At 53.3% G+C, this 24729-nt stretch overlaps 4 annotated features.

The window, feature by feature from the left end:
• Positions 3723-4464: an enhancer, noted in NCBI's record as "H3K4me1 hESC enhancer chr17:47976271-47977012 (GRCh37/hg19 assembly coordinates)". NCBI's record gives its function as "activates a minimal SCP1, AML or CMV promoter by ChIP-STARR-seq in primed H9 embryonic stem cells {active_cell/tissue: H9 hESC(primed)}" and the evidence as "EXISTENCE:reporter gene assay evidence [ECO:0000049][PMID:30033119]".
• Positions 11932-12768: an enhancer, noted in NCBI's record as "H3K4me1 hESC enhancer chr17:47967966-47968802 (GRCh37/hg19 assembly coordinates)". NCBI's record gives its function as "activates a minimal SCP1, AML or CMV promoter by ChIP-STARR-seq in primed H9 embryonic stem cells {active_cell/tissue: H9 hESC(primed)}" and the evidence as "EXISTENCE:reporter gene assay evidence [ECO:0000049][PMID:30033119]".
• Positions 12769-13606: an enhancer, noted in NCBI's record as "H3K4me1 hESC enhancer chr17:47967128-47967965 (GRCh37/hg19 assembly coordinates)". NCBI's record gives its function as "activates a minimal SCP1, AML or CMV promoter by ChIP-STARR-seq in naive H9 embryonic stem cells {active_cell/tissue: H9 hESC(naive)}" and the evidence as "EXISTENCE:reporter gene assay evidence [ECO:0000049][PMID:30033119]".
• Positions 22730-22819: an enhancer, noted in NCBI's record as "active region_12373". NCBI's record gives its function as "activates an Ori minimal core promoter by ATAC-STARR-seq in GM12878 lymphoblastoid cells {active_cell/tissue: GM12878}" and the evidence as "EXISTENCE:reporter gene assay evidence [ECO:0000049][PMID:35858748]".

Here is a 24729-nt window from a genome sequence, read left to right as displayed (position 1 = left end):
AACAGCACCCAGACCCCGGAAGAGGGAGCCCAGATCTCAGGGCATCACAGAATGCCCCACACAGAGCCCAGAAGATGTAGCAAATGTCCAGGCTGGCAAAGCCCCCACTGAACAGAGATACATCTGCATCACCCAGCAGATGCAGACAAAAGGAAAGAAAGATATCAGAGCCAAAAGGCACCTCACACCATACCTAGCTCTCAAAGCTTTCCAAACTGTGTTCCCTGAAATCCTCCCTAGGGGTTCTCAGGAGATGAGATGAAGATGCCAGAGGGAAAGGGGGACCTCACTCCCAACTCCAACCAGAAACTCTCCGCTTTGTTTGAATTCTATACCAGGCATCTGCCTGAGATTCCGCCTGGGGAAGAAAGGAAGGTTGCTGTGAATACAGACACAAATAAATAACCCCATAGTTTGAATTATCGACCCTGTTATTCTACAGACTGGAAAAACTGAGATAGAGCCCACTTGGCTTTCCCCGTTGCCCAGTTGCCCAGGCTGGAGTGCAGTGTCACAATCACGGCTCACTGAAGCCACGACCTCCTGTGCTCAAGCAATCCTGCCGCCTCAGCCTCCCAGGTAGCTAGGACCACAGCGCCACCACGCCCGGCTAATATTTTATATTAATATTATTCTTATTATTTGGTAGAGATGGGATCTCCCTATGTTGCCCAGGCTGGTCTCAAGCTCCTGGGCTCAAGCGATGCTCCCACCTCAGCTTCCCAAAGTGCTGGGATTACAGACATCAGCCACCTCTCAGCTTTTAAAATTTGTGTTGGATGACTGCATGAGTTCCTGGACTCTCTGTCCAGTGCTCTTTAGCTACAGTGACTCTTAAGGAGGGAGCACATCAGCATGGGAGGTTGTGCCCAGTGGAGAATCCCCGTGGTGAGGTTTATGATGTTATTGGGAGTCCTGTCCCTCAACCATGTCAGCCCTAGGGTCCTAAGGCCAGAGAAAGGGGGAGGGCAGGGGCAGGGGACCTGCACCCACCCGGCAAGCGCGCAGAGGCCAAAGCCGCCCCCTCGTTAGCCAGGCGTGTCTAGACTCCTCTCCTGCCCCTCACCCTCCTGCTCTGCGACCACCCGGCAGCCGGCAGCAGCAAGGGGGTGCGGCCAAGAAAGGGTTAATCTGGCAGCGCCTTTCATCAGCAGCTTGGCGGGCTCCCAAGGCCCACAGGCTGGGTACCTGGGCGCCTACCTCCGTCGGTGGGGCGGGGACGTGACCACAGGGCAGCCCTGCCGTCTGCATTCCTCCCGCGTGAGTGCGTGAGTGACGGCCGCCGCGCCGGAGCCCCTCGCCGGGCGCCCGCCCCGCGGGCCACGCCCGCCTGGCGCGCGGGGCAGGGGGCGGGCCCGCCGTAGAGAGGGTGCCCCTCCAGCTGTGGCCCAGGCTCCGTAGGGAGCCCCGTGCTAGGAGGTGGATCAGGCAAACTCTGCAAGGAGCGAGGACGCTGCCGGGGGACACAGGAGGAGCAGACTGTGGTTGGGGTCAGGACTCCGGAATGGAGTGATGCCCAGGGCTCCCTGGAGGAGTGATAAGACGGGGTAGGCACCGGCAGGCCTAGGCCAAGCACCCTGGAAATTCGGCTGTGTCCCCAGAGTCCTACCCATGCTCCAGGTCTCCACATAAATTTCAGCCTTCTCATTACATAGTGGTGGGACCGGCCATCCTCAATTCCTCTTCCCTGAACTCACCAGCCCTGGCCTTTGATCTCTCCTGGGACCTGTTGATGGAAACAGGAAGTCGCCTTAGGCTTGAAGCAAATTCAAACAGGGTGTACACAGGCAAGCACCGCACCTTCAGGCTTCTTCTAGGGCTGGGGCTGGGGCAGACTCCGAGATGGAGACAGTAGTGCCAGGACAGGGGGAGAGCATCCTTCTCTCTGAGAAGGCTGGGGAATACATAACCCCCAAGCCTGGGGGTTCTCGGAGAAGCCCAGCAGGGCTACAGAGGGGCCTTCCTAGAGGAATACGATTCCTAAAAAAGAGCCTCCCCCAGAAGGAGAGCTCAGCCTATCACCCACTCCTCCTGACTCCTGGGAGACAAAATTCCCTCACACAGGTCCCCTTGTCCACCCAATCCTTCTGGAAAACTGGCAGCCTAAATATGACAGCTAGACAGTCCAGCCCTAAAATACGTAGCTTCTCAAATGCTCAGGAGCTCCAGAGTCCTTGGACTCAGTAGGAAATCAGAAGGGATGAACCCCTCAATGATTTCCCAAGTCTCCCTTCAAACAGGCACTTCAAGCTCAATTTGTATGCAAACTCAGCTCTTGTTTCCAGCCTCTGGATTCTTTTGTTGTTGTTGTTGTTGCTGTTTGATGGAGTCTTGCTCTGTTGCCCCGGCTAGAGTACAGTAGTGTGATCTCAGCTCACTGCAACCTCCGCCTCCCGGGGCCAAGCAATTCTGTCTCAGCCTCTCAAGTAGCTGGGACTACAGGCACACACCACCACGCCCAGCTAATTTTTGTATTTATAGTAGAGACAGGGTTTCACCATATTGGTCAGGCTGGTCTTGAACTCCTGATCTCAGGTGATCCACCTGCCTCGGCCTCCCAAAGTTCTGGGATTACAGGCGTGAGCCACTGCACCCGGCCTCCAGCCTCTGGGTACATGGGCAGAGAAGGGGAAGGGAGAGGCTGAGGTAGGGAAGGGGCCTTTGGAGGAGAGGTAGAGTGAGGGCAGGACAGATGGGGAACCAGCCCCAGCAGCTCCAGGCTCCCAGGACAGCAGGAGCAGAGATCTGATGCTGGTCCCCTTTTCCTCCAAAAGTCCTTTCAGACATTTAAAAATCTTGACTTCTTCGGGTTCCGTCTCCTGGAGGCCAGTTGCTGCTGTGAGAGCAGGTAGAAGTTTGATCTAATATCTAGATTTTTCTGAAGCCTTTCTCTGCCTTTAGAATTCTGCTAGGTTGACCTCCTCCTCCTTCTCCATCCTTAATTATGTAATTAATGTCTGAGGAGTGGGGCTGAGGCCACCTTTCAGGGGAGGAGCAGCAGGCTCGCCTTCATTTGGGGCCAGCATTTATTCCTGACCTGAAGAAAACAGCCACCTTTGCCCGTACAGGAGACTGGTAAGGTGCGTGAGTGAGGAAGGGCTGTGGAATACTCAGGAGACCCTGCTCCATTTTCCCCCAACTCAGGCCTGGGGCCAATGACTCCATCTCAGTTATCCCATCTCTAAAATGGGAATATAATTTTAGCAACCACACAGTGGGTGTTCTGAAGGTGTATCTGTTAATTGGAGATGGGTGCTAGGTGGTCGGCACCCTGGGAGAGCAGGCCAGCCTGGTTGCTGTCATCATACCTCATACCCCAAGCCGTGCAATCTCAGATTGAATGAGACGTACCACCAAGCCACCTGCCCCCAGCCCCACTGCCCTCAACCCCAAATTGGGACATCCTGCCAACATGCTAGGTATTATCTTGAAAAGAAGGCTGAGAATCTATGAATAATAATAAGGCATCAGGCTAAAATCAGGTAAGGACTAAATAAGATCAAATAGGAAATCAGGCAACAGACCTCAAAACAACTGGTTTCTCTTGTCTCCCTTTGCCTGGACCCTGGGGCTTGTATTTTGGTAAGGTGACCAGCTGTCCCAGTTAGCCTAGGACTGTCCTGGCTTTAGCATTGAGAGTCCCACATCCCCAGAAACCCTTCAGTCTGGGGCAAACTGGGAGAGTTGATGATTCGTTCTCAGGACAGGTTTGGAGATTGGAGAGATCACAGATGTCTGATTTCCTTCACTCTGCCTGGTTTTCTGTATGTATCCATGTGGCAATGGAAAAATCCTGGAGACTGGAGAAGGTTTCTCTCTCCACCCCCACAACCATGTGACACCACAACAAAAAGCAGCCTGCCCGCCCTCCACTGCAGTCCAGGACCCCTTCCCCCAGTTATCCCTTCTCCAAGAAGAATTTTCATCTAAGGACTAAGGTCCTGGACCCTTGCCTCCATTCACACAAGCCAGGCAATGGCAGGGCCCAGGAGCTCCTAGCCAACCAGGGAGAACCTTCTAGGAGACAAGCCCCAGGTTGCCATCTGGTGGTAATTCTCCAGGGAGGAGATTTGCCCAGGTGACCCCTAGGTCAGGCTCCTTTAAATAGCCCTTAAATTGTCTTTGACACAGGCAACCTGGGGTCGCTGCTGCTCGGGGAGGAAGACTCAAGGCTTAGCAGACCACACCCCCAAAGGCACTACCTTGAAGCCGCTTCTCGGGGCGAGCCTTCCAGCTGTGCGACAGCCATCTACAGGCATTCCTGAGGGGTAGCTGCAGCAACAGGTCTCTGGGAGGGGTGAGGAAGGGGTGAAGGAAGTGGGGTGCAGGCCCGCCTATTACATGCCCAGCTGTTTTCTTTTAGGAAACACCAGACCCCTGCTTCCTCTACCACCATGCACACACATACAAGTCTCTGTTGATCTTAAAACACAATAATCATTGTGCAAGATGACCAAGGCCCAAGGGGGGCCCAGGTCAGGGAGCCTAGTGAACTGTGCTCCCCAGGCCCCCATTCAACTATGGATCTGTGCACACAGAAGAGGGATGGGACCTACAGGGCCCATACAGGTGCCTGGGCCCTGTTTGGAGCATGGCATCCCCCGTGGCATCAGGTCAAGGGTGTGGGCACACAGCCTGGCCTTGGGCCTCTCACTCAGAGCCAGGCCTCCCAGGCTGGCCAGGGAGCTGTCAAATCCCCCACTACAGAGACAAATGGAGCCGTCAGAGAAAATAGCTTCTAATGGGGAGCAGGAGCCAGGCTGGGCTGGGGCTGGGGGGAGGACTCTGCTGGCCAGATGTGAATTCTTCACTAATCACACCAAATTGGCCCAATTTGTTCACTGACACGCGGGGGGACCAGCTTCATCTTTTCCCACTGAGCAGGCTTCCCTCCCTCCTGCATGGAAGCAGTTTGGCTCCAGGGATGGGGCTGGCCAGCTGACAGCAGGGCTGGGAGGGAAGAGGGTGAGGCAAGATTTACATGCCCTCCCTCCCTGTAGGACCCCAGGAGCTGGCTTGGGTTTGCCTCCTCTCCATCTCTGGCAGCCCCCTGAGCCCTGGGTGCTGAGGGTCACACAGTTTGGGGGAGGGAGGTGGGGAAGAGAAGAGGGCTGGGCCATCTCCTCTCTTGAAAATGAGTGGCACAAGTGGGAAAGGAATTGGGACATTCTTGGGAAGAGTAAGGAGGGGTCTTTGGGAGAGGCTAGGGGACCATTTAAGGCAAAACAACATCACCTCATACAGGCAGCTGAATTCACCGGGTCCCCGTAGGGCCACAACTCCGAGCGTGCTGGTAAAAGAAGGCAAAAGAGAGCCTGTACCCCACCTCTCCAACTGCAAGCCAAACTCACCCCTTCAATGCTTGCTCCAGAAAGAGTCTTAAAAGCTGGGACTGTCACAGGAGGCCTGCCAGTGGGACTTGGAGAAGAATTGCCTCTCACCTTCCCCTTCCCTAGGGCCTCTCTCTCCACGGCTGATCAAGAGGCAATATGGAGATGTGCATCTCCTGGGGTTTGGGGGTTCCAGGAGGTGGGACAGGAGTGCTGATGGCGAGTCAGCCAGGGCGAGAGCATGCACGGAGGTCCCCAGGCTCTGTAACCCTGTCTTCTATGTCCTATACCAGATAGATGCACTCATGCACGTGCAGCTGGGTGTCCTAGCCCACCATCCATGGTCCATCCTTCCCACACAACCTCAATTCCCCTATCTCACGCCTCACCCCAACAGTCACCCTGGGGCCTAAGAGTTTCAGTGGAAGATAGAGTGAAGGGAAAACTGGCGCGGACCCTGACAGCGGGCTCGGGGCTGTTGGGTAGGGAATTCTGAGGTTCTGTGGTCTAGAAAGGGGTAGTGTGAAATTCCCCTTGGTTTCCCTCTTGGGGAGGGAGGGATTTCGCTGAAAGAGAAGTAGAAGAGGGCTATCAAGCCTTAGGGCCTGAGGCAGGAGCCCCAGTGCCCAGCCAAAGAGTAGGTCGATGAGGGCCCCAGTTCCTGCCTGAGGGCTGGGGAGAAGGTGAAGGGCATCCGGGTGCCCCAACCTGGCTAGCTCTGCGGAAAAAAACACCTCCCAATCCCATGTCCCCTTCCCCATTCTTTCTCTCTCTTACCTCAGGGCTAAGCCATTCCTCCCCCTGGGGATGGCCTTATGAACTTTCCCAGGTCACCTTTCACCCCAAATCTCAAACCCACCCAAGGCCCAATCCTGTTGCAATCAGCAACTCCTCCCTTAGGGGAAATTCCACTCCAGGAACCCCGTGGAGGGTGGGGCCAGCCCTGAGGGGGAGATGAGCCACTGGGTGGGTTCTGAGAAGGCAGGGAAGGCACCTGGTGTGGTGTGATAACCTGTGGGACCAGGTGGGGCCTGCTCCTGGAGGGAGAAGCAGGACAGAGCTGGAGGCAAGGGGCTCGAGAGATGGAGGGCAGAGGCAACCAAGCCCTGCGGGGGAAGTCCAGGGCATCCTGGGGAAGAAGAGGCGGAGGGGAAGAAGGAGCAAAGTGCTGAATAGACGTCATCCTGCTCTACCAACAAGTTGATTTTTTTTTTTTAAATAATCCCACCAGGCACAGTGGCTTATAACTGTAATCCCAGCACCTCGGGAGGCTAAGGCAGGAGGATCGCTTGAGCCCAGGAGTTTGAGACCAACCTGGGCAAAATAGGGAGACCCCATTTCTACAAAATAAAAAAATTAGCCAAGTGTGGTGGTGCACACCTGTGGTCCTAGCTACTTGGGGGGCTGAGGTGGGAGGATCACTTGAGCCTGAGAGGTTGAGGCTGCAATGAACCATGATCCTGCCACTGCACTCCAGCCTGGGCAACAGGGCAAAACCCTGTCTCAAATGAATAATAATCCCTACTCCTCCCACTGGCACTTGCCTCCCTGGGTCAAGGTACTTGCCTCTTCTCCTTTCTGGTTTTCCCTGGCTAAGCAGAGTGCTCCCTCCCAGCAAGGTTGTAGACCTGGCTTCCAGAGAGCTGAGCACAGATATTTGGAAGGGAGGAATGCAGGAAAGTCCCTGGATTTCTCTTAGAAACACTCTCTACCTTCCATTTTCTGGCACAATTCCTAGTTGATGTGTGGGCTTCTCTTCACTAACAAGAAGGGCTCTTCCTAGGCCCAAAGACTCACAACAACCGGGGTATGAATTCTAGTTCTGCCACTTACTTGCTCTGTGACCACAACCTACTATTACATAACCCTGAGCTACTATATAACCTCTGTGAGCCTCAGTTTCTTCATCTATGAAGTGGGAACTCTACCTTTGAAGATCGTTGTGAGGACTGCAGTCCATCCTGTAAGCTGTTTGCAAAGTGGTGCCCAGCATACAAAGCCAGTTGAGTCAATACCTGTTGAATGAATGAATGAATGAACGAATGAGTGGACTTTCTCTTTATGTCTTTGCCTGACTCCATTACAGATTCTTGGGCACCATCTGGAACAGGTGTCTGAATTCCCAATAGAACAGGGACTTAACCCCTCTGTGTCTCAATGTCCTCATCTATAAAATAGGACATAATGAAAGTACCTACCTCATGGTTTTATTTTGAGGATTAAATGAGTTAATCCAAGTAAATCTCTTAGAGCACTGGCTGGTACTAAGTAAGAGTCCAGGGTCAGGTGTGCTGGCTTGCACCTATAATTTCAGTACTCTGGGAAGTCAAGGTGGGAGGATCACCTGAGGCCAGGAGTTGGAGATCAGCCTGGGCAACACAGTGAGATCCCATCTCTACAAAAAATATTTTAAAAAATTATCTGGGCAGGGCAACACATGCCTGTAGTCCTAGCTACTTGGGAAGCTGAAGCAGGAGGATTTCTTGAGCCAAGGAGGTTAAGGCTGCAGTGAGCTATGATCACACAATTGCACCACTGCACTCCAGCCTGGGCAGCAGAGGGAGACCCTGTCACCAAAAAAAAAAAAAAAGTCTGGGGAATGTTGGTATTGTTAGACAAAGTCCGTTGTCCTTCTCTCCAGCCCACACCATCCTATTTTCAAATGGCTGAGGAATGAGATGCTCACAGCCCCAGTCCCTCCACCTTAGGGATCAGAAAGTCCTTTTCTCAGTAAGCTCCTTCTCCCAGGAAAGGATACCCTCTCCAAGACCAGAGAAACCTCAGGCAGGTTCCACATCCCTCAGAGCCTGCCTAGCCCCACCCAAGCCCGGGTTGGCGACACCACCCTCCCCTCCCACCTCTGTCTCCAGGACTGATCCTTCCAGTGTCCCTGCCCTGCACTCAACCAGTGACTTCCCTCCTCCCTCCACCTCAGCCCTCCTTTCTTGCCACCCCTCTGGCTGGCGCCTGGGCCTCTCACTCCCAGATGGCATGCCGATGGCGTGCAGACTGAGTCCACAGCAGGCCTTGGGTGCGGAGCATTGGGTGCCAGAGCCAGCTCGTGCCAGCAGCTCAGGCCTCCTCCTGCTGAAACCTGCCACCGCCCAATGCCCGTGGACACACACTCATCCCCTTCCGCCGCCGCCAGGAAGTGCCAAGCTCCAAACACCTTTACCTAGAAACCAACACTCCCTACCTTGTTCCCATCCTGGGAGGGCCCTGCCAGCTTGTCACCAAGGGTGGGGCCCAGGATCTTTGCCTAGGCTCTGGCCCTTCCTGACAGTCCTTCCTCCTCCCCACTGACCTATGTCTGCCCTACAGTCAGTCTGGCATGGACCCCGTCTCCAAATGACAGGAGAAAAAACCCCTGTGGGCTATGGGCAAACAGGATTTCTCAGAGTTTCACCTGGGATTCCTGTAAGAGCAGGGGCTAGGGAGAAGTTGGGCAGGGAGATGCCACCCAAAGCAACTCACTCACAAATTCTTTCATTTCAGGCTCTGTTTTATCTGTTTTATGTTATATACATGCACATTTCACTTCATATTCTCCAAATCTGCTTACTATAAAGCAGACATTCTAAAACATATTCTAATTGAATTATTTTTTCTTCAAAAATACATGCCTGTAATCCCAGCACTTTGGGAGCCCAAGGCAGGAGGATCACTTGAAGTCCGGAGTTTGAGACCAGCCTGGGCAACATAGGGAAATCCCATCTCTACAAAAAATACAAAAATTAGCTAGGCGTGGCGGCACATGCTCGTGATTCCAGCTACTAGGGAGGCTGAGGTGGGAGGATTGCTTGAGCCCAGGGGATCGAGGCTGCAGTGAACCATGTTCATGCCACTGCACTCCAGCCTGGGTGACAGAGTGAGATCCTGTCTCAAAAACAAAATCTCTGGGTCAAATAGACATGCCAGAAAGACATACAATGGCTTTGGTCATCCCCCGGGACATCCCATATGCTCAGGGCACATTAATGCCTCCATTTGAGAAGCTCAGGCTGAGAAAACAAGAAGGGAGAGGAGGAGGTCTAGGGTGGACAGAGTACAAAAGGTAGGAAAGAGTGTTGAGGAAGATTCTGGTAACTGTTCCTTGGGTCTGACCTGACCATCATTTCTTCCCTTCCCTTGCTAATACAAGCTTCATCTGAGACCAGGTTCTCCATCCCTGACTCCCATATGCCGCATTTGTTTCTGATTTTTCCACAGTGGGGATAATCAAGGTTTCCTTCAAGCCTCACTGTTCCCAATTCCAGTGGATCTGAGCCTTTGCTCCTACCAGAGAAGAGCTCTTGGCAGTTCCAACTCTGGGGAGTGTCAAAAAAGAGGCTGGCACACCCCAGCACTCTTCCACACAGCAGCATTAGCCATCTGCCGTCACTCTGAGCCCCAGTTTCCTCATCCACAAATCAATGGGGTTCAATGTAGGTTTCTAAGGATCCCTCCCACAGCAAAAATCTTAATATCCTTCATAGAAACTGGTGGCCTCACTAGAACATCAGTCTGTTTGCTTCTTAACTAATAGTCTTCCATTCATTCCACAAACTATTACTATATGCCCTCCTCTGTACAAGGTGCTGGGGCATATAGTAAGGAAGGATGGTTCCCACCCACGTGAGACTCAAATGTGGGGAATGTGGGGATTTGTACTGTGTTCAGAAGTCTTTCTTTTTCTTCTTTCTTTTATCTCTCTCTCTCTCTCTCTGTCTTTCCCCTTTCTTTTTCCTCTTTCTCTTTCTTTCCTCTTTCTCTTTCTTTCCTCTTTCTCTTTCAGACAGGGTCTCACTCTGTTGCTTGGGCTGGAGTGCAGTGGTGCAGTCATGGCTCCCTGCAGCCTCAACCTCCCAGGCTCAAGCAATTCTCCCACCTCACCCTCCCAAGCAGCTGGGACTACAGGCACACACCACAATGCCGCACTAATATTTGTAATTTTTTGTAGAGGTGGGGTAGGGGGGTCTTCCTGTGTTGTCCAGGCTGGTCTCAAACTCCTGGGCTCAAGTGATCCTCCCACGTCAGCCTCCCAAAGTGCTGGGATTATAGGCAGGAGCCACCACTCCCAGCCCTTTCTATTTTCATTGCATTACACTTAACAAATCTGAAAGTACCAGAGCCTCTGGAGAGCTGGCCAGGAGACCCAGCCCTGCCCCCTTCCCTGTGCTGTGTAAATACTATACACACACACACACACACACACACACACACACACACACACAAAATGATCAGGTGCCCAGGCTTAATGTAGGCAACCTGGTTTGTATCCAGCCTTTGCACTTACCACTTAACTGCTCCATACATCAGTTTCCCCATCTGCAAAATGGATTTAACAACAGTACCTTCCTCATGGACTTCTCTCTACTGCTCCCCACATCCCACCAAGCCTTCTGCCACTGGCAGTCACCTAAGCCCTCTCTGCTCTCACACACTGGCTTTCTTGCTGTGCAATGTGCCAAGTGAAGCAAACCCATCTCAGGGCCATTAAACTTACTGTTCCTCTTGGCGGAATTGCTGGGCCCCCAACATTCAAATGGCTGATCCCTCATTTCATTCAGGTCTCTGCTCAAATGCCACCTCCAGGAGGCCCTCCCAAACACTCTCTGTCCCTTCATGATGCTTCGGGTTCCTTCAGGGCACTTATCACTACCTGACATTAAATATCTATTTTCTTTTTTCCTTTCTTTCTCCTTCATTAGAATGTAAGCCCCAAAAAGGCAGAGATTTAATCTGATTTTGTGTATGTGTGTGTGTGTGTGTGCGCGCGCGCACGCGTGTGTGTGTGTGTGTGTGTGTATGTGTGTGTCCCTATATCTCTAGTCCCAATATCTAGAATAATGCCTGGCACATAGTAGATGCTCAATAAATATTTCCTTGAAATAATCTTGAATAAATGAGATGTGGAGATGTGGAAACTAAACAAACTAAAGAAATAAAGTGCTTTGCACAGTCCTTGGTACATGGTAAGCAACGATAAGTGGAAACTTATTATTAAACATACACCAACAGGCTTGCCTGGAAAAGACGGAGATTTCATGAGAAGAAAAACAAAATTCAGCATAAATTACATATATTGCTTCATGCAATAAATATTCCTATTGTCATTTCTGTCTTCCATCTTGATTAGAAGATGGTTCACTCCACTGTGTGTGTTCTAAAATTTCAGCCTGCTCAGCAATTGTCAAGTCTTAATTTTCTTTGTCCACTCTCAGAGTGAATGATTTGGACCATCAGAGAGGCGTCACTTCCATGGTCACCTTGACCTAACTTGGGGGAGGACCATCCAAAGCTGCTAACCGGTGACAGGGAGGCTGAGACACCCACCACCACCAATGGGAAAAGTTCTCCTTTCCCCAGGGACCCTAAATAAGGAGAGGAGGGTCAAAGAGGCCCTCTCGAAGGGTCTTTTTGGCCAGTTTCCTGCCTCTCATTGGGAATTCTCCCACTCCAACCTCGTGCTCTGTCAACCTAGAGTTCTGGGGAGAACCAGCACACAGGACCCCCCTTCCCAGTCTAACCCCCAATCCCCATGTTGTCCTTCCTCTTCTTGGCCTGCGAGGACAGAAGAGGACACACCCACTTCCTGGGCCTGGCATGGCCTGTAAGACGGAGAGGTCACTCCAGGTCCTCTCTCCTCTCCCTGGCAGGACCCTGTGGGCACAGGAAGGAAGGTGGCAGTCCCTACAAGTTCGAAGGGAGAGACAGGTCCCTGCCCTTCATGGCTACATCATAAGATCACCAAACACTCCCTGGGCCAATCTCCTCTAATACCCTAACTCGAAAGGTGGGGTTAATAGCCCCAGTTACAGCTGGGCAAGCCGCCTCGGACAGGTCAAGTGGCTTGCCCAAGGCCAGAACACAAACCCTCTCTCTGGGACTCTGTTGTTTGGGTGACGCCACAGTGGGCAGAAACAGGAGCTACCTGAGGAGGGAAGGAGGTGTGGCCCTCAGGGCAGGCTTCCTGGAGGAAGAGGAGGAGGCCAGCCTGGATGGAGAAGGGAGGCGGCCAGAGAGACGGAGGAATGGTCGGGTGCGGGCCTGGGCAGCGCGATCGCACTGCGCCCGCCTTGGATTCAAGGACAGGGCAGGGCGGGGCGGGACCCAGCCCGGGAGGGGCCGCCACGCCCGAGCTTGCAACGCCGCATCCCCCCTCCCCCCTACCTCGAGACCCTGGCCCCGCTCCCAGCGGGAACAGGAGGCCAGCGAGTCCCCCGGCTACCCCAAAACTGGCGGGACTAGAGTAGGCAGTGACGGGGCAGAAGCCTAGTTATAAGAGTTCTTCCACCTCTCTCAGGCATTTGGGGCCCTGGGGTAGCGGCGCGAGGCCAGCCTAGGGGCCCGGGGTCTCGGAAGATATCTGCCTGCGGTAGAAATCAGGCGGCAGAGCCAAAACAGGGGGTCGGCTTGGGCCCGGCGCCCGGCACTGCTGGGCTGGGCCGGCGTCGGGCCCGGAGCTGGCTGGGGGAGGGCCTGGCTGCCTAATGGTTTTCGGAGGATGCTCCCTGCGGATTAGAGGTCAGCTCAGGGCCGGGCGGGGCGGATGGGGAAAGGATCCAGGAGCCTGTAGCTCCGGCCTGAGCTGTGCTGAGGAGACGGACTTAGGCTTTAGAGCCGGGTATGGCCAGGGCTCTGCGAGTGCCAAGTCAGGCCAGGAGTCAGATGGCTTTTTTGTGCTAACCCAGCCTGTGCTGCGTAGACAGATACAGGGGCTGCTGGCTGTACACCCGCCAAGGAGGGGTGAAGATCCAGCGAAGGTGCTGGGGCTGTCTTAGAGCTGGGATTGCCCAACACTTTACACAAGACAGAAACGCCAGCCACAGAGCATTGCGTGGAGTGAGGGTGCGGGATGTGTGTGTGAAGATGGTGGGGACTAAAACACCCCAAGCCACCTCCTGCCGATGGGCCATTCAGAAAGGGACAGGGGGCTTCCTCAACAAGTCCCCACCACCCTGGTGGAACCCCTTGCCTGTCACTGAGCTTCTTTAAGCCCTCTCCCTCCATCAGCCCTCCAACCCCTTGCCGGTCCCCACCCCTCACTCAGCCCCCTTCACCTGGGCCTCTGCCAATCCCTGCGGAGGCCAGGTCAAAGCTCCAAAGTGACTGGTGATGTGGGAGGGGGCTGGGACCTCCTGGAGCCAGGCCTGCCCCACCCCCACTGGAACCAGCCCTGGGCAGGAGGAGCTGTCTTCTGAGAGGACCCCATTTCTTTTCAGGGAGGTGACCCAGAAGAGGGGCTGGACCAGGCTGGATGACTTCAAAGGGCGGTGGGTGGGGTTGGCGCCTGGTCACAGGTGCCACTCAGGGTGGGCCAACCTGCCCAACCAGGTCAGGGCCTGTGCTGTACCCGCCCTCCCGCCCAGAACATCACAACACAGTCCTGACAGCAGCCCCACCCACCAGGGACTCCCCCAGGGCTCAGGAGAGAGACCTGACACAGGGATCTGAGGCGAGGCATCCAGGGCCGGGCAGTTCATCCATCCATCCCCCACCCGTGCCGAGAGCCTGTGCACACCTGTTCACCCCCACGCGCGCTCACACACACACACGCACACACCCTGGCTGCGCAGGCACAGAGTTAGATGTCAGGCCCACAAAAGGCTTCACCGAGCTTCGTCCAAAAGTTCTTCCTGCTATCTTTTTCTCCCCCCTGAATTCTGGTTTTTTTTTTGTTTTTTGTTTTTTGTTTTTTGTTTTTTTTTGAGATGGAGTCTCTCTCACCCAGGCTAGAGTGCAATGGCGCAATCTCGGCTCACTGCGACCTCCGCCTCCTGGGTTCAAGCGATTCTCCTGCCTCAGCCTCCCGAGTAGCTGGGATTACAGGCACGCGCCACTATGCCCAGCTAATTTTTGTATTTTTAATAGAGATGGGGTTTTGCCTTGTTGGCCAGGCTGGTCTCAAACTCCTGACCTCAGGTGATCTGCCTGCCTTGGCCTCCCAAAGTGCTGGGATTACAGGCGCAAGCCACCGCACCCGGCCTACCCTCCTGAATTCTTAGGAAATGAGCAGAGGGTAGGCCAGTCTCCAGTCTGGTGCCAGCTCTTTTGGATTACAGACTCCTTGGAGCTGAGCAAGGAGGCCTAGGCCTACCTCTGTACATGGAGACCTCCTCCCCTCTAAGCAGACTACATGTCAGGTGAACATCTGCAGGTTCCCACACACAGCACTGGGTGGGCAGGACCATGCCAGACACTTGGGCAAAAAAAAAAAAAAAAAAAGACTGAGGGCTGGATGTGGTGGCTGACACCTGTAATCCTAGCATCTTGAGGGGCCAAGGCAGGAGGATCACTTGAGCCCAGGAATTTGAGACCAGCCTGGGCAACACAGGGAGACGCCATCTCTAAAAAAATAAAATAAAATAAAATAAGACTGTTTTCTCCTTCAAATCTTGAGCTAATAGCCTCAGTTTGCTCATCTGTAAAACAGGAACAATAATAGTACCTATCACATAAGATTGTTGTGAAGATTAAATGAAATGCCACGTCAAGTTCTTAGCACAAGGCCTGGCATAAAGTAAGTCTCAATAAGTGGCAAGTGTCACTGTTATTAATATTACTCTAGTGGGGAGACTTTGTCTGGAGAACCACATATGCTGTGAACCAGACTAGACTCTTGCAAACTGAGTGGGTCTTGGCCTTGTGTGAATCCAGCGTTTGCCTCTCCCCTCCTCCTCCCCCTGCACTGGCTGCTGTGCCTCCCACTTACCCCAAAGGGACCCCAAGATTCAGACTGACCCATTCGTCCATCAGAAGGGACTCCAAGCCCCCAGGCAGAGCAGGAATGGTTGATGGGGGCACTTGACTCATAGCCATCTATGGTGATGTCTCAGAGAAAAGAGCTCAGGAGAAACGGTCTTCGCCAATCAGGTTCCAGGAAAGCCTCGCAGAGGAGAGAGCTCCCAGAACAGTGGGAAGGAGCAGAGGGCAGTGGTTCTGTGTATCCTGGGTCAGAGGTAGGATAGGGAACAGGGAGTCAGGAGGGTTTCTCCCATGTCTCTTTCCACATCCTGGGCTGGCAGGGACGAGCAGGGTACCAATGAGCCATATCCGTGCGGGATGCAGGGAGCCTGGCTCTTCAGCCAGCCCATGCCTCTGCAAGATGTATTCATCTCCACACATCCAGTTCAGTGCTCTGGCAGGTATGTGGGTGTAACTTACTGGACATGACCAGGCCAGGATGTGTGCCAGGCCCTAGGCATATGGCAGTGACTGAAATAGGCAGGGGCACTGATCCTGGGATGCCTACAATCTGGAGGGCACAGTGACCCCTCAATCTGAGAAGGCCTCCTGGAGGCAGACGTCAGGCGGGACAGGAAGGGAGGAGGAGGAGGAGAGGGTGCTGGTTGGAGAAGGAAGTATGGAAGAGCAGAGCATGCCAACCTGAAGACCCCCCATCACTACCACAAAGGGAAGAAGGGGTGGCCTGGCCAAGTCAGGTGGATCTGAAAGGTCCCAGAGCCTCTGAACAAGTAGGGGAGGGGACCAGAAGGGGGTAGATGCTGCTGGCATTGGTTCCTGGCCTGAGTGGGAGGGGACGTCCTTGGACCCTGCTGGCCCTGGACTCTGGCCACCTCCGACCTCACTCTGTTGGCGTTGTGGCAGCAAGAGCTGGATCTGCCGCATTCCTCAGAGGCCCAGGTTGCCTTCTGACTGGGCTTGGAAGAGCCCCTGGGGGCAGGCAGGTCTCTCCTTGGTCTCAGGGCTGGAAAAACTGGTCTTCCTGCACACCCCCCACCAGCAGCCTAGAGTTCGAGGAGAGGGTGTCAGCAGGAACAGGAGGTTCCCTGCATTCCACCATTCCACAGGGGATGGGAATGGGAGGGGAGCGGGAGGAGAGAAGGCGAGAAGCACATGGGGGAGGAAGCAGGATGGGAACTGGGAGCTTCTCTGACCAGGGAGGAATGTGACTAGACTGAATGTGGGGGGATGACTTTTTTTTTTTTTTTTTGAGTTGGAGTCTTGCTCTGTCACCCAGGCTGGAGTGCAATGGCACAATCTTGGCTCACTGCAACCTCCGCCTCCCTGTTTCAAGCAATTCTCCTGCCTCAGCCTCCCAAGTAACTGGGATTACAGGCACACGCCACCTCGTCCAGCTAATTTTTTTTTTTATTTTAGTAGAGACCGGGTTTCACTGTGTTGCCCAGGCTGGTATCGAACTCCTGAGCTCAGGCAATCCACCCATCTCGGCCTCCCAAAGTGCTAGGATTACAGGCGTGAGCCACAGCACCCGGCCAGGGACAACATTTTTTTTTTCCTTTAAATATGTCATCTTAACTGGAGGCATTTTTAATAGGCTTCAGAAGCAGGATGAGATCCGGGTCAGACCTCTTTCCTTCCCCTGTCTGAAAAGGAAGATAGATAGATGCCTCTTTGTCAGCAGGAAAGCTTGAAGTAAAATATCGAGAAGCCCTTCCCCAGTGGGTAAAATGAAATAGATGACCGTGAGGCAGGATTGAAGTATCCTCCAAGGGAAAAAGGAGAGAGTGGATCTCAGCCTGGGATGCGACCCCCATCTTCCCGTGGGTGGAGGGGGGCAGGGGTGGGGTGCTCAAGATGGGGGCACTGTCCCGCTATCTTCATGGATTCCCCCTGCTTCCTGGGCCCCTAGACTGTGTCAGACCCAAGAAAAGCCCCAGCCACTAGCATTACCCCTATACGAATATCCTTTGCAGGAAGAGAGACTTAGCAGTGTGGAAACAAAGCAATCTTGGTGGCCAAAGCTAAGCTTGATGAGTCCCAAGATGGGCCGAGGGACACAGCAAGACCAGGTCTCTTAGAACGTTCTCACTCTGTCACCTGGGCCCTTTTCCCCTCTCTGGGCAGAGAGCTGCCACCTTCCCCTCCCTGCCTCTCCCCATTCCTCCCCCAGGGCTTGCTGTGATGCTGGTCCAGAGCGGGTGCTCAGCACGGGTGCAGTGGGTTATAATGGATCAAACCCAAGCCCCTGAGGTTTCTCCAGCTCCATGAACCTTCTTCCCTAAAGACAAAACCCAACCCCTTTTGGGGAGAAAAAGACCAGATATCTTCTCAATGTCCTTTCTAGCATTCAGAGATATAGTCACTGAGGTTTTGTGTCTCAAAATATAGGCCATGTATCACCTGCCTGCCTCAGCATTAGAGGAACCCTTGTTCAAAACGCAGATTCCCACAGCGTCCCCACTCTAATTCACTGGGCCCAGGAACCTCCATTTTATACATGCTCTCCACATCAAAGCTTGTCAAGATTCTAAGAAGTTTAAGAATCTTGACTGGGTGCAGTGGCTTATGCCTGTAATCCCATGCACTTCATGAGGCCAGTGCGGGAGGATCACTTGAGCCCAGGTGTTCAAGACCAGCCTGGGCAACACAGGGAGACCCCGTCTCTATAAGAAATAAAACAAAATAGAATAAAATAAGCCGGGCATGGTGGCCACACGCCTATAGTCCCAGCTACTTGGGAGGCTAAGGTGAGAGGATTGCTTGAGCCTGGGAGTTTGAGGCTGCAGCGAGTCATGATGGTACCACTGCACTCCAGCCTGGGTGACAGAGCGAGACCCTGTCTTTAAGAAAAAAAAAAAAAAAAAGGCAGACATGGTGGCTCATGCTTGTAATCCCATCACTTTCGGAGGCCGAGGCCAGCAGATGGTTTGAGCTCAGTGGTGGCGCATGCCTGTAGTTCCAGCTACTTGGGAGGCTGAAGTGGGAGGATCACCTGAGCCCAGGAGGTCGAGGCTGCAGTGAGCTTCGATCACACCACTGCACTCCAGCCTGGGTAACAGAGTGAGACTCCATCTCAAAAAAGAAAAGGAAAAAAAAGAGACCAGGCACGGTGGCCCACGCCTGTAATCCTAGCACTTTGGGAGGCTAAGGCAGGCAGATTATGAGGTCAAGAGATCAAGACCATCCTGGCCAACATGGTGAAACCATGTCTCTACTACTAAAAATACAAAAATTATCTGGGTGTGGTGGTGCATGCCTGTAGTCCCAGCTACTTGGGAGGCTGAGGCAGGAAAATCACTTGAACCCAGGAGGCAGAGGTTGCAGTGAGCCAAGATCGTACCGCTGCACTCCAGCCTGGTGACAGAGTGAGACTCCGTCTCAAAAAAAAAAAAAAAAAAAGAAAAAGAAAACAATCTCTGCAAGGGACCCACCCAATGAGCAGTTCCTCAGGGTGGGGGGGGTGCTCTTTGGGGGTCTCTCAGACACTGTGTTCCCCAAGGCCAGTCATTCAGACCTGATGGGCAGAAGCCTTCTGCAGCCTCTGCAGTATGACTGGAGGGAAAATTTCCCCATGGCGAGTAGCCTGATTACAGAACATCCTTCCCTGATATCGCTATTCCTTTCATTTGACTTTCCCTGAATAACATTTCTTGCAAGCCCGCTGACTGCCAGGCACTGTGCTAGAAGCTGATCATTTCCCATGGGGTCCTGCACGCTTGCCCGGGGGGCGGGGAGCGGTAAAGGATGAGTGAGAGCTGGCATGGAGGCAGGGGAATAGGCACAATGGCCTCCTAAGTTCCCCTGAGGGCCCAGAGGCATCCCTGCCTAGGCCTCCCCATCCCAGCTCTCAGGACAGGGGTTGTTGCAAGGCAAACTAGCCTGGGCCAGGCTTTGCCCTGCCTCCACTCCACTGCATGGCCCAGTCCAGGTGAGACTGGAATATCCTGACAGTGCCGAGCCTCATGGAGGGGATGGCTTCTAACCCTGCAGTCTGACTTCCTTCTAAAACATATCAGTGGAACGTCAGGAAGCTTTACCAGAGCAGAACTAACTGATGGCTTCGTCATTCATTTACACATTCATTTATTCACCAGGTCCCTCCTCTGTTCCAGACTGGGACTTCAAACACGGAGAAGGTATACTCCGTGCCACCAACAGATGCTCACAGCCTCAAGGAAAAGCCGCACATGAAATAGACACTTGCAATTCAGGCATTCAATCATTCGCCCATTCATTCACCAAAGGTATATCAAGCGTCTGACCCTCTCCAGTCCACTAGTGGTGTTATCTGAGGCGGATGATGCAGAGGCCAAGGGCTTTGCAGTCAGACAGTCCTGGGTTCAAATCTTGCCTTCTGGCTCCTGGTGAAAACCAGGAGGGCTTTGCCTCATGGACCTGGGACTTCCCCTGGCTTGTCACAGAGCCAGGAGCGGTGTCAATTATGGGTAATTGAGGTAATAGGCATCAGACCGTAGTGAGTGAGTTTCTAATCAGCAATTTCTCCTGCTGCTGCTTCCTCAATCAAAGCACTTATCTCATTGTGTGGGCTCAGTCTCTTGTCCGTCCCTAGATGCATACACAACACATTCATGAGATGTGGGTCTTGGGCCTGGGTGTTCAGCAAGGGTTTGCTGTGTAAATGGGCGCTCAGAGTGCAGAGATAAGCAACAGCCTTGGGAAGGAATTGGGTGCTGCCCTGAAGGCTCTGGCTTTGACTAGATCTACTGGCTGGCTTTTGGTTCAGAATGCAGAGCTCTGTGGATCAGGTGAACCCACAAAGGGTTAAAGCTGACTCCTCTGACCCTTTTAGTCTCAATAAAAGTATTCCATAGAGGAGATGAGTGTGGAGCCATACATACACACACACACAGAGTGACCACCACACAGTCTTCAAACCTGACCACAGGGGCCGTGAGTGGAACCGACAAGCAACACCAGAGTCAACTAAGGAGGGCCACCTGGGTCCTCTCTGGCCCCCAAGCTCTACCTTCCACTCCCACCCACCCTCCCCCAGGCATTGCAGAAGCCACAGTCCCCTCCTCCCTTCCCAAAGGAAGCCTTTGTATGTATGTGAGAAGTGCTTTGAAATGTCTAGAAATTTCTAGCTGAGAAGGCTTCATGTACTTTCCAGACATGAAGACCTGGGAGGCAGGAAGTGTCCTGAGACCACCACCCCCAACTCTCAGGAAACACTGGTGCTAATTTTCCAGAGCTTCCTTGGTCCTTTCCAGAATTTTCTCTTTTCTGCAGGAAGCTTCCCACAAGGAGAGGAGAAGAATGCTCCCTTCCCTCCAACACACACACACACACACACATACACACACACACACACACACACACACACACACACGATTTTAAGAGAGCAGCTTTTCCCAGACCACCCAGCCAGCTGAGTGCCACCCCAAAGAAGAGGACCCTGCCCAGGGGATTTGGGAAGGGAACAGCTCAGATTCCATTTGAGGCAACTTGGATCAGACTTGAGAAAGGGCTTCCTGAACAGGTGGACGCTGCCCCCAGGATCATATCACCGGGACAGAAGGGAGGACGCCCTCCTCTAAAGGTGGTGGCAAATGCACAACCCACTGAGCAGCAGCTCTCGGGAGGTTTAATGCACACACACGCTGGCGCAGCTGTTCTGTAGGAGCAGTCCTACAGAAGCACACTCACAGGAGCACAAAGGTGCTCGTACCAGCATCCTTGTCCCAGAGTTATCTATGACGATGAAAAATCAGAGACTGCCCAGATGCCCCTTGATAAGAAAAGTTAAGCAAGTTAGAGTTCAGCCACACAGAAGACAGATGCTCTGCAGCCCCTGAAAATGAGATCACTCTGTGTGTACAGATGGGCATGATGGAAAAACAAGTTGAAAAACTATTTGTAAACTCCCATTTGTATTTTATTAATAAAAAGGTTTTTTTTTAATGCTTAAAAGGTCTGGAAGGAAGCACACCAATCAATTACCTCTGATGGGGGGATGCACTTATGGAACACTTTGTATTCTATAGTCTTCTATATTTGAATTTATTTAATGTATTTATTTTTGAGATGGTGTTTCACTTTTGTCACCCAGGCTGGAGTGCAATGGCATGATCTCGGCTCACTCTGCTTCTTGGGTTCAAGCGATTCTCCTGCCTCGTCCTCCCGAGTGGCTGGAATTACAGGCACCCGCCACCATGCTAATTTTCATTGTATTTTTAGTAGAGACATAGAGACGGGGTTTCACCATGTTGCCCAGGCTAGTCTGGAACTCCTGACCTCAGGTGATCCCTCCCTCCCACCTCAGTCTCCCAGAGTGCTGGGATTACAGGCGTGAGCCACTGCGCCTGTCTATATTTGAATTTTACAGCAAGTATGTAGCACTTTTATAACTTCTTAAATGAAACTTTTTTAAAATGAATAAAACTTAAGGAATAGAAGGGAGGGGACAGGGCAGGTAAGGAGGCTTTTGCCCTATCCTCTAGGCAATGAATGGAAGTGATGACTCTGGGGACACCCTTCTCGCCCCAAGGAGAGGTCAACCCCCTTCCACCCACACTCCCATCAGTCCCAACTGAATGTTTACAGAGCACCCGCTCCAGCCTAGGCACAGGATTTAGAGAAGGGGCTTGGTCTTTACCTCAGAGGCTCCCAGTCAGTGGGGGAGACCATGTCTCTGTGGTTCCTGTCCAACCTCAAGCACATCCCCCCACACATATATGTGCACACGTTCACACACACATGCGCACGCGCACATACAGGGGCTGAGGAGGGGTGACTGGAGACCAGCTGTCTGTCTCTGGGGAGTGTGTGTTGTGGGTAGGGGGCTTCACAGAGTTTTGGGAATCTACAGTAAAGAAGCCTGGAAAGGACTCCAGCTAGGACAGGACACACACACACACACACACACACACACACACACACACACACACAGCCTCTCTCACATGCTGATGCTGATACCATATTGTATACTCTTAGGCCCACCGTCAAAATTGCTGCTGTCCCCCCAGACCCTGCTGGGAGAATGCTGGGCATGGGGCAAGGCGGGGCAGATGATGAGGGAGGGGAGAAGGGAGGGGGAGGAAGAAGCCCTCCTTCATGATGTGGCCCCCTGCAGAGGAGCCCCTCTGTCGGGCTCCCCTCCTCCATTCCCTCCCAAGGGCTGCCAAGACAGAGGCTCCTCCTCCCCTTTCTTCCTCGAAGAGGCCCAGGACAGGGAGGGGCAGAGTCCATGACACTGGGCATGGAAGGGGAATGAGGGGCGCTCACCCACCTTGCCCTGAACTGCCCCAAATGTCCCTGAATTGCTTTTTCTTTTCTCACCTGCTGAAGATTTTCCTGGCACACCTATGAATGGGAAGTTCTTCTGGAAATCTAACTGATATAGAAGGGAGGGGCTTAGAGGGGTCTTTCTAAGGTTTTTGCCAGGATCCCCACCACCCCCCGTTTCTGTGAGACCTAGACAATCCGCTTGGCCTCGGAGCTCCAGTGTCCCCGTGTGTAAATGGGATTCAGCAATACTAACGCCAAGTAGGATCACTTCGGCCCTTTGAGTGGCTGTTTCCCTTTTAGTAAATGAAGGTGGCCCCTTTGCGGGGAGCGGGAGGGAGCCGTAAGGCCCGGGTGAGGACCTGTCAGGTATAGGGCCGCCTGGGGCGGTGAGCGACCGCAGCTGCCGAGCAGCACCCAGAGGCCTGCGCGGGAACTGCAGCTGCCCCGTCCGGGTCCCTCCGCGGAGAGGAGGCCGTAGAATCGGAGACAAGTCCCGCTGCCCTGTCCTACCGGGCTGGGTCCTCGGCAGCATTCCGGGGGCGGGGTGGGCAAAGGAGAGGCCAAGAGAGGCGGAGACTGGGTCTTCCATCGGCAGGGAGCTCCCGTCTCAAAGTGGTGTCTAGGCCTGGGCTGCCATAGCCGGGGACCCCAGGACGGGGGCAGGATGGGGGGAGGTGCCAGGAGAGGGCTAGGTCCCGGCTGAGGGGTGGCAGGGAGAAGGTTAAGGGGCAAGGGCAGCGGTCTCCGTAGAGGAGACAGGCTGAGGGCTGGAGACAGGACGGCGGTTCAAAGGGAGAAAAGAGCCGGGCGCGATGGCTCACGCCTGTAATTCCAACACTTTGGGAGGCCGAGGCGAGCGGATCGCTTGAGGTCAGGAGTTCGAGACCAGCCTGGCCAACATGGTGAAACCCTGTCTGTACTAAAAATACAAAAATTAGCTGGGCGTGGTGGCGCACGTCTGTAATCCCAGCTACTCAGGAGGCTGAGGCAGGAGAGTCGCTTGAACCCGGGAGGTGGAGGTTGCAGTGCGCCGAGATGGTGCCACTGCACTCCAGCCTGGGCAACAGAGCTACGCTCCATCTCAAACAACAACAACAACAACAAAAAGAAAAACAAAGGGAGAAAAGAACCGAGATGCTGGGGAGCCATTTTGGCCAGTCCCCTCCCTCCAAGCCCCTCCCAAATGGGATGCATTGTTTTGTTTTTTTGTTCTGTGAAAATCCACCTGGAACAAAGAGTTTCTAGTCTCATCCACTCCCCTCACCCTCGCCCCAGGTTAGGATTCCCCAGGTCCAGAACTTCTTGGGAAGTCACTCGTGGAGGGCCAGCGACCTCAGATATACCCCTCCCCCTGCCCAGCCTTGGGGGAGGGAAACCACTGCTTTAGTCACGCCAGATAATCACCTCTGGTCACTCACTGTCTGGCCTCTTCCTCCAAGTAACTCCAACTATCTCTTAGACATTATCTCACCATGCAGGCTTGGTGGGTGGGTGGGAGAGAGGAAGGGAGGGGGAGGCAGAAGTGAGGAGGCGGCATTTAAGAAAGGAGAAACTGAGGCCAGAAAGGACCAACATGCCCACTGCCCTGATTCCCCACATAAGCTAGAAAGATGACATTGTCATGATCACAGGAGGACTGGAGGGCAAACTGCAGAGAGAATTTCCCAGAGAACTGTGAAAATGACCATTTGAAAGGAGTTTCAGGGGAATCACCAGCGCCCCCGAACACCAGTTATGTGCCAAGTACTGCGTTAAGGGCTTTCCCGGAATTACCTCATTCCTTCCCCCAATGAGATAGACACTGTAATTATTATTCTTGTTTTACAGATGAGCAAACTGAGGCAGCCGCTTGTTCAAGACCACTGGATAAGCCAGTGGAGACGCCAGGATTCAAGTCTAGGGAGCCTGACTCCAGAGACAGTCTCCTGGTGAAGCAATGGAGCAATCTGGAGATGGGGGCCTGCCTGGGATGACCTCCTCTGGGCCCTCCTGCAGGGTTAACAGAGTGACCTGTAGGTTTCCATTAAGACGACAGGTACAGCTCACCCAGGGCTGGACTGTGCCCCTCTCCCAGTCATCGATGAAGGTTCCAGGCCTTAGCAGATCCCATTGTAAGCCTTTTTTCCCAAATGTATATGTGACCTAAGAATTATGCTGGAAGAGGAAAATAAACGAGAAGAGTTTCAATCATTTTCATTTCTCTTGTGTATATGTTACCCTCAGATTTTTTCTAGAGCTAACTTTTTTTTTTTTTTTTTTTGAGACATGGTCTCGCTCTGTCACCCAGGCTAGAGTGTGGTGGCACTATCTCGGCTCACTGCAACCTCTGTCTCTCGGGTTCAAGCAATTCTACTGCCTCAGCCTCCCCAGTGGCTGGGATTACAGGCATGCGCCACTACGCCTGGCTAATTTTTTTTTTTTTTTTTTTTTTTAGCAGAGATGGGGTTTTGCCATGTTGGCCAGG

Source organism: Homo sapiens, chromosome 17 (genome assembly GCF_000001405.40).
Source record: "Homo sapiens chromosome 17, GRCh38.p14 Primary Assembly".
Lineage (NCBI taxonomy): Eukaryota > Metazoa > Chordata > Mammalia > Primates > Hominidae > Homo > Homo sapiens.
The sequence above is the reverse complement of the archived record's forward strand: the minus strand, read 5'-3'. Positions and strand labels throughout refer to the sequence as shown.